Here is an 8,323-nt window from a genome sequence, read left to right on the forward strand (position 1 = left end):
GAAGACATTTCTACACTTGAAGGATAATATTCTGACGTTTTCAGGGGCTACTCATTACCTCAGGCCACTATTTGAAGATAGGGTGATATCGGCTGGAATTCTTAGTGTTTTATAAACTTACTTCTTTCCTTTGTACAATTTCTCAGAGTGGGCCCTTTGGCAGAATGAGTGAGTGATAGTGTTTAAGCATCATTCCAAGATGAACCAGACTCTTATTTTTATGGAGGCAGAATTTGCAACCAAATAGTCTGGCTTCAAATATACATTCTTATGTAAGATGTAGTGTGAAGAAAGCCTAGCACCTAGTAAATGCTCAGCACATAGTAAATGCTCAGCAAATGCCATTGTATTTTCTTTTTCTTTTTCTTTTTTTTTTCTTTTTTGAGACGGAGTCTTGCTGTGTGGCTAGGCTGGAATGCAGTGGTGCAATCTCGACTTACTGCAACCTCCGCCTCCCGAGTTCAAGCAATTCTCCTGCCTCAGCCTCCCAAGTAGCTGGGACTACAGGTGCGTGCCACCATGCCCAGCTATTTTTTTTGTATTTTTAGTAGAGACAGGTTTCACCACGTTGGCCAGGATGGTCTCGATCTCCTGACCTTGTGATCTACCTGCCTTGGCCTCCCAAAGTGCTGGGATTACAGGTGTTAACCACTGTGCCTTGCCTGTATTTTCTATTAAATTATATTCACTGTTTGAAGTTTATGGAATGAGGTTGTGTCCCATTCCTACGTTGGTTTATGCTACAAAATTCTTTATGTTTTTAAAAGTTTCTTTAAATTAATTTTATGACATATTGATAGGAAATCTACTTTTCTGGCGTCTTTATTTGGCAATTTCTGCCATTGCCTTCTAACAGAAGTAAACATTTATGCTAGCCAACTCATTCCTGGAAAGATTTCACCAATTTTCTTTGACAGAATTCCCAAGCCGTCATAGTTTTTACACTATCTAATGGAAAACTTTATAAGCTTTTTTTTTCTGGTCACTGAAATATATAGCCTCTGTACCCTAAACCTGCAACCCCTTTCTCCCGCCCTACCTCAATCCCATTTAGGAAATTCAAATAGGGTGGTTTGGAGAAAGGAAAAAATGTCCTAACGTCCTCCTAAAGGAAAAACAAAAAACCAATCTATTTTAAAGCAGGATATTAAAAGTGTCTTAACAACTCTGGTTCAAGCCTGGAGTTCTCCTCTGTTTGGAAAACAGCCGGTTGTTTTGACACTGATTATAAAAAGCACCCTAGTTTAGCATACTTTAAAATGTGGAGAAAATGAACTACTTTTTTAAAGAAACACATTAAAAAATAGTGGACAAAGGAGTATGTAAAAGGGCATTATAAGGATGCAATCAGCACCATTTAAATTGTCCAAACTCTACTGGAGTTTAAAGTGCAGAGAACATTTTATTACCTGAAACATGTGAGAACGAGTTGCTAAAATAGTGCCACAAATCACCCCTGAATATTAAGAAGGTTCTCCTCTATAAGCATCATATAATCATCACAATCAGAAAAGCTATCATTGGTACATCACTACTTTCTAATCTCCAGACCCCATTTGAATTTTCCAGTTATCTCAATAATGGCACTAATAGCAATAGGATCTAGTCTAGAGTTGTGTTCCAGTTGGTTGTTATGTTTCTTTAACCTTCAGTTTGGAATAGTTCCTCAGTCTTTCTTTGACTTTTATGACTGATGCTTTTGAAGACTACAGGCCAATTATTTTATATTTCCTTGTTTTGGACTTTCCTGGTGTTTCCCTATGATTAGGTTCAGGTTATGCATTTTAACAAGATCATCACTTCTGTGAAGCTGAGCTCTTCATTCTGTCAGATGTCACATGATCTCAATGTATCCAATTACTAATGATGTTCATGATCATTACCTGATTAAAGGTGTATCTTCCAAGCTCTCGTATAATATAGTTAATTTAGTGTATTCTACCTTACAGCCCCACCTAGTCACTCCTTCCAACTGTGGCACCAATGGCGTCATTAAGGCCACTAATTTGGCATTATTTTTATTTGTACAGTTTTGTATCACATAAGCCTTTTTTATTTAATTATTTAGAACATCTCTCTTTTTTTTTGATATGCAGTATCACTTGTTCCTAATATACACATAGGAACATCATACCACTGGTTTCCAACATCTTACTTTTAATATACACATTAATGTGCAGAAAGTTTATTTTTTCAGGTCATTGCAATCTCTTGTGTGGAAGACTGACCAAAGAATTTCTTTTATTCTGTATAGAAACAAACTTAAGTATATAGATATGTGTATTTACATATATATACAAAATCAAGTATATACAAATCAAGTTCACACATCTATATATATATGTACCTCAAATTATTTGTCTAAATATTAGGTTGTTGGAAAATTAAATGTAAAGTACAATTTTGATTTTCAAATGAGAAGAAGTTGAAGTTGAAGGGAAGGTCAGGACGGGGTGAAGTGGGAAAATTATACTGAAGAGGGAGAGCAGTGTCCTCCTCCACCATCAGGAATCATGCCTGCACCTAAGTCTGTGTGCCAAGAGTGAGAGTGGGTGGGGTGTCCCTGCCTCCTGTCTCCCGACATAGGGAGCCAGCGGGTGAATAAGCTCAGCTCTAAGGGTCATGCAGTAAGAAGAGCAAGATGAAAGAGAGAGAACTTTGGGAAAGCTGCCTGTGCTCTGTTATTAACTCTTGTGTAATGCTGAGCAATCCTTTTTCTTCTTGGGACCTTAACTTTCATGCCATGGAAATGAGGAGAGAGGAATCTCTTTCAACACTGCACAATAAAAAATGATAGGTCAGGACTGTAAAATTCTGAGATGAGACAAACAGAAGCATAAACATCAAGGACACTTTTGTCCCCTTTGGGCTCACAGAACCTCTAACCCATAGACATACCTTCCTGTGTTTCACACATTTCCAAAGATCCCACCACACACATCCTTTGGGACTGCTTTCCAAGGAACTGTCCATCTGTCCCCTTGTCCTTGCAGCCTTTTAAGTTAAATGTGTTATATTTCAGACACTCTTAGGGGTAACGACACCCTCTTTGCTACTAATGTTGTAGTTCAGATGTGCTTAGTGTGAGATTTACCTTCAGAGAAATGGTGAGGAGACAGACAAACAGCCTGGAGATTAAAAAAGTAGGAAAAGAGTGTGAAAAGGAGAACTATTGTTCATAGACATCTCCATCTTTCTTTCTGGGCTTGAGTGGAGGTTAGAGGGGGCCGGAGCTTTGCTGTGGAGCTTCCCCATGATTCAGTGAGGTTTATTTATAGAAACAGCTTATGGGACTTCTGTGCTTAGGAAATTTGTAGAGCTGTGTGGAAATTACAAAACCATTCAAAAATAGTGTACTCTTGTTAAAATGTGCTGTATTATTATTATTAATGAAGTTCTTTCTTAGGCATTGGTTCTGATACAGCCTTCTCATTGAAGTACTGTCAGAGACATTCTGCACCATGGGCGATTACTAGTTCCAACAGATTTCTGAAAATTATCACCAAGTGGCTATCTGGTAAAGTGGCATAGAGGAGAAGAAAGGAGGTTCTTTTGTATTAAATTAACTAAATAAGTATGATTGTAAAAGCTGCACTGCCTTCTAGGAATGGAAAGAATTAGTCGTGGGCTTGGGCTTTGCAACTACTTGCCCACAGAGCATCTCTCTCTGTTTCAGGTGGGTGGGGCAAGGAGAAAATATTTCCTTTAGGCAAAGTAGCTAAAAAGCATAAACTAAATCTGTTCCTTCAATGAGTTTTCAAATCTAAGCAAGAAGAGTAGACTATTGCAGTGACAGAAGGCAGGCAAGTGGATTAGAAAGACTTTGAGAGAGACTGTGAGTATCAGAAAACCTCCAAACAGCTTCCCTGACAATCCATGTGATTCACTGTGCTCCATGGACCTTCTCTCACCTTAGTGCAAATTAGGGGCTTGGATTAGGGGCCGAGGTTGAGGTAGGGTTGATGCCTTTAAATTCCAAACATTATTTGAAGGCCTCTTTCTGTGGCAGGAGACTAAATGAATAGCTAAAGAAGAAATAAAGGAACAAACCAAAAATTAAGGCCTAATGTTAATTTTTTTCCATTAAGAATTTTAACAGAAAGACAGAAAGATAAAAATAAATATCCCATCATTGCAAGGTCCAAAGAAAGACAGTCTTAACAGTATTAAATATTTACGTCTTGCTTTTCAAATTTCTATTTTTAAAACACAGCTGCAAATTGTGTTTATTTGTGCAACAACTTAAAAAACATTTTCATTTTGAAATAATGATAGATTTGTAAGAAGTTGCAGAAAAAGGTACAGGGAATTCCTGTGCACCCTTTACTTTGTTTTCTGTCATGGTAACATCTTGCATAATTATAGTACAATATCACAATCAAAAAATAGATTATCCGAATAATCTACAGAGCTTATTCAGATTTTACCACTTTTATATGCATTCATCTGTATGTATGCGTATATAGTTATATGTGACTTTATCATGTGTTTAGATTTGTATACCCATCACAATCTAGATACAGAACTATTCCATTACCACAAAGCTCCCTTACGCTACCTCTCTATAGCCACATAGACCCCTAACGACATCTAATTTTTGCACACTTTCTATGTACCAAGCACTGTTCTGGATACTAGGAATGCATCACTAAGCAAGTAAAAGTCTCTGCTCTATTGAGAAGAGACAAAAAATAAGCAATTCCAAAAACTGAACATATAATATAATAGGTATTAGATGATGAGTTCTATAGATAAAAATACATTTTTGAAATTGGTATTATTTCTTGACAAGCTTATAGATTTAGGCACTAGGCTAAGAATTCAACATGCATAGCTGTTTTGTTTTTCTTCGCAGAAATCTGATGAGGGAGGTATATTTTCTGCCTTTTGCTTATGAACAAAATAAGGTGTATAAAGATTAAATGATTTAATCTGAAATCACAAGGCTGCAAGATGAATAAGTAACATACGCAAGTTTATAATGTGTTTTTTAAAACATCCTGGCATAAGCTTTCTTTCATGTTATTAACAGCTCTTTTAAAATGTTATTTAAATTTCTATGTAATATTTTTTGGTGGATATCCAAGACATGAGCTATGCTAGGCAATGTTTTACAAAGCAATTCCTGTCTTGTGGATTATAGTAGCGCCTGTAGTGCTGTTTTGTATGTTCCACAGTTACCAGCCTTTCATTTATTCAGGATAGGGCACATGGAATTAGTGCTTGCCAATGGGCTGTGAGTAAAATTACGTGGTTCGCTTCCGGTCAGAAGCAATTAAGGTATGAGTTTGTCATATTCTCTTCCCCTGCCACAGTGCCTGTAAAAGCCATATATTGAGATAGCAGAATTTCACGATGGAGCAAGTATGGATCTCTGATCAGTGGATGAAAGAATGCCCCTTGGCTTGCATTTTTGTGTAAAGAAGAAAGAAACTTCTGTGTGCAAAGCCATCGTGTTGTTTATTTTCACAGTAGTAGCCTTGAGTTCAGTTTTTGGACTCTTACATATAATATTGCCTTGAAAAATCATTCCGGATTAAATATTTCTTATGTTTGAGATTTTCTTGCTATATGACTAGAAGTGGAACTAATGGCTCAAAGCTTCTGAGGCTTACTTCCAAGTTGTTTTCCAAAGTGTTGTTTCTATTAAAAATGCATTGAGTGTCATTTCTCACTAAACTATCAAGATCATTAATTACTAAGATCGAGATAATATATTCAAGCACATGAAAGAGACAAAGAAATATCATTGTTGATTTGATTCATACTCATTTCATTATCAGTGAAGTTGACCTTGTTTTCATGCATTTATTTTTTTAATAGCTTTATTTAGGTGTAACTGACCTACAATAAACAGCACATATTAACAGTGTAAAACTTGATAAGTTTTGATATCTGTATATGCCAGTGGAAACATTACTACAATCAAGAAAATGAACATTTGGAGATGATCTCCAAGACTTTCCCTATGCTCATTTACAATCCCTCTCTTCTACTCATCTCTGACTTAAAAGATGTGGCTCCTCTATCTTTGGCTTGCGTTGTTTATGATAAGTCAGCTTTCATCATTATTTTTGTAGTTTTGTATGTATATTTTTTCCCTCTGACGATTTTTAAGGTTTTCTCTTTATTACTCATTTTAAGCAATTTATTATATGTCTTAGTATAGTTTTATGTGTGTGTGTGTGTGTGTGTGTTTGGGGATCACCAAGGTTCTTTGAACTTTGGATTTATAGTTTTCGTCCAATTTGGTAATTGAGGGGGAATTCTTTCTCCAAATATTTTTCCAATTACATGTAAACTAGGTAGATTAAGTTTCTCATATTTTATATATGCTCAGTTAGATTTTTGCTCTTTTTTCTCTTTGTATTTCATTTTGAATAGTTCCTATTGCTGTGTCACCAACTTAACTAATTTTTTTTTTACAGTGCATAATCCTGCTGTTAATTCCATCCAGTTGTGTTTTTCTCTTAGGAACCGTATTTTTCATGTCTAGAAGTTAGTTTTGGTTCTTTAAAAATATTTTCCATGACTTTAATCTTTTAAACATATGATTGCAGTTATAATAATTGCTTTGATGTTTTTGAGTGCTAGTTCAAATGCCTGTGCTAGATTTGGGTCTTCTTTTAATCTTAATTTTTTTTTAGAGGTGGAATCTCACTATGTTGCTCAGGCTGGAGTGCTGTGGCTACTTCACAGGTGAGATCATACCACACTACATCCTCAAACTCCTGGGCTCAAACAACCCTCTCACTTCAGCCTACCAAGTGGGTCTTTCTTGACTGATAGTTTCCTTCTTAAAATTGGTCATATTTTCCTGCTCCTTTGTATACATGGTTGATAGTCATTGTGAGTTTTTGTCATTTTGCGTGCTGGATATTTTTGTATTCCTCTAAATATTCATGAACTTTGTTCTGGCATTCAGTTAAATTACCTGGAATTAGTTTGATCCTTTTGGGTCTTGCTTTTCGAATTTGTTAGGTAGGACCAGAGCAGCATTTACCCTAGGGTTAATTATTCACCACTGCTGAGGGAAGAAGCTCTAAGTACTCTATGCAAAGGGTTATAAATTATCAGGGTTTTTTTTTTTTTTCTGGTCTGATTGATGGGAATAAGCATTGGTACTGGCCCATTGTAGCGCTGGGTTTTGTTCCTTTTAACCCTTGAAGGTAGTTATTTTCTGGTCTCAAGTATTTTATAATGGTGTATAACAGCCAAAACTCTCTTGAAAAAGAATTACAAATTCAGAGGATTTGCACTATTTGCATCTAAGCCTTACTATAAGGCTACAGTAATTAAGAAAGTGTGGTGTTTTTAAAAGATCATGATGAAACCCCGTCTCCACCAGAAATTCAAAAATTAGCCGAGTGTTGTGGCGGTGGCCTTTACCGAGTTTCCATATATCATCATCATCATTATCATCATCATCCAGTATTTATAGTTGCAAGCAACAGATGAAAACTTTGGCTAGTTTTAGCAGAAAACACATTTATTAAGGAGTATTAATAGCTCACGTAATCTCTGAGAATAATGCTTGGAGTTGACTACCGTCAAGAAAAACATTTAAAAAATCATTCTACAGAAGTGATTCTATGAAGGCATTGATGCAGTTTTTTTGGGGGGGAGGCACAGACAGGGTAGTGTGTGCTGCTGATACCCATGGTACACCGGATAATCCTAGAATTGTTAACACTAGTTATTCAGGAAACTGGACTTGCTACTGCCTCTAGTGTCAGTCTCACCACATTTAATTCTGGGCAGTTCCTCCCTTTTTGTATCACTAGTCCTTGACTGGCACAAAAACACCTGAGTAATAGAGACCGGGTCACAAACCTGTGCCCCTACTGCAGAAGATGCTGAGAATATTTTAGCCTCTCCTAAGAGAGGATACCCCAAGCATCAAAGGAAGAAGACGCTGGACAGAAAAACAACATCATGACAGATGTTTACATTTCACATCTTTGGCTCCTCCAACATACATACACTTCTTTCTTCTCATGTTAACAATGCCTCCCACTTAAAACGTTCTCATCTGACACTGTGCACAGTTGGAACACACTAGCCGTCTTCTCAGATGATGTCAGAGTTTCACCCATCTCCGAGACTGGATGTTTTCAACAAATACCAGGCCTCCTCTGGAATGTCAAAATCCTGCCTTGATATTCTATAACCTGTGGACCAATCTGAAAAATGTGCTGCTATGAACAAACCCAAATAAAATAGTAAGGGACAGGAGATGAATGAAGAATTAATAAAACATACCAATATACATGTGACACATCAAGGAGAAAAATTTGTGAAGACGCTATATCCTCATTTCTGT

Source organism: Homo sapiens, chromosome 7, assembly GCF_000001405.40.
Source record: "Homo sapiens chromosome 7, GRCh38.p14 Primary Assembly".
Taxonomy (NCBI): Eukaryota; Metazoa; Chordata; class Mammalia; order Primates; family Hominidae; genus Homo; species Homo sapiens.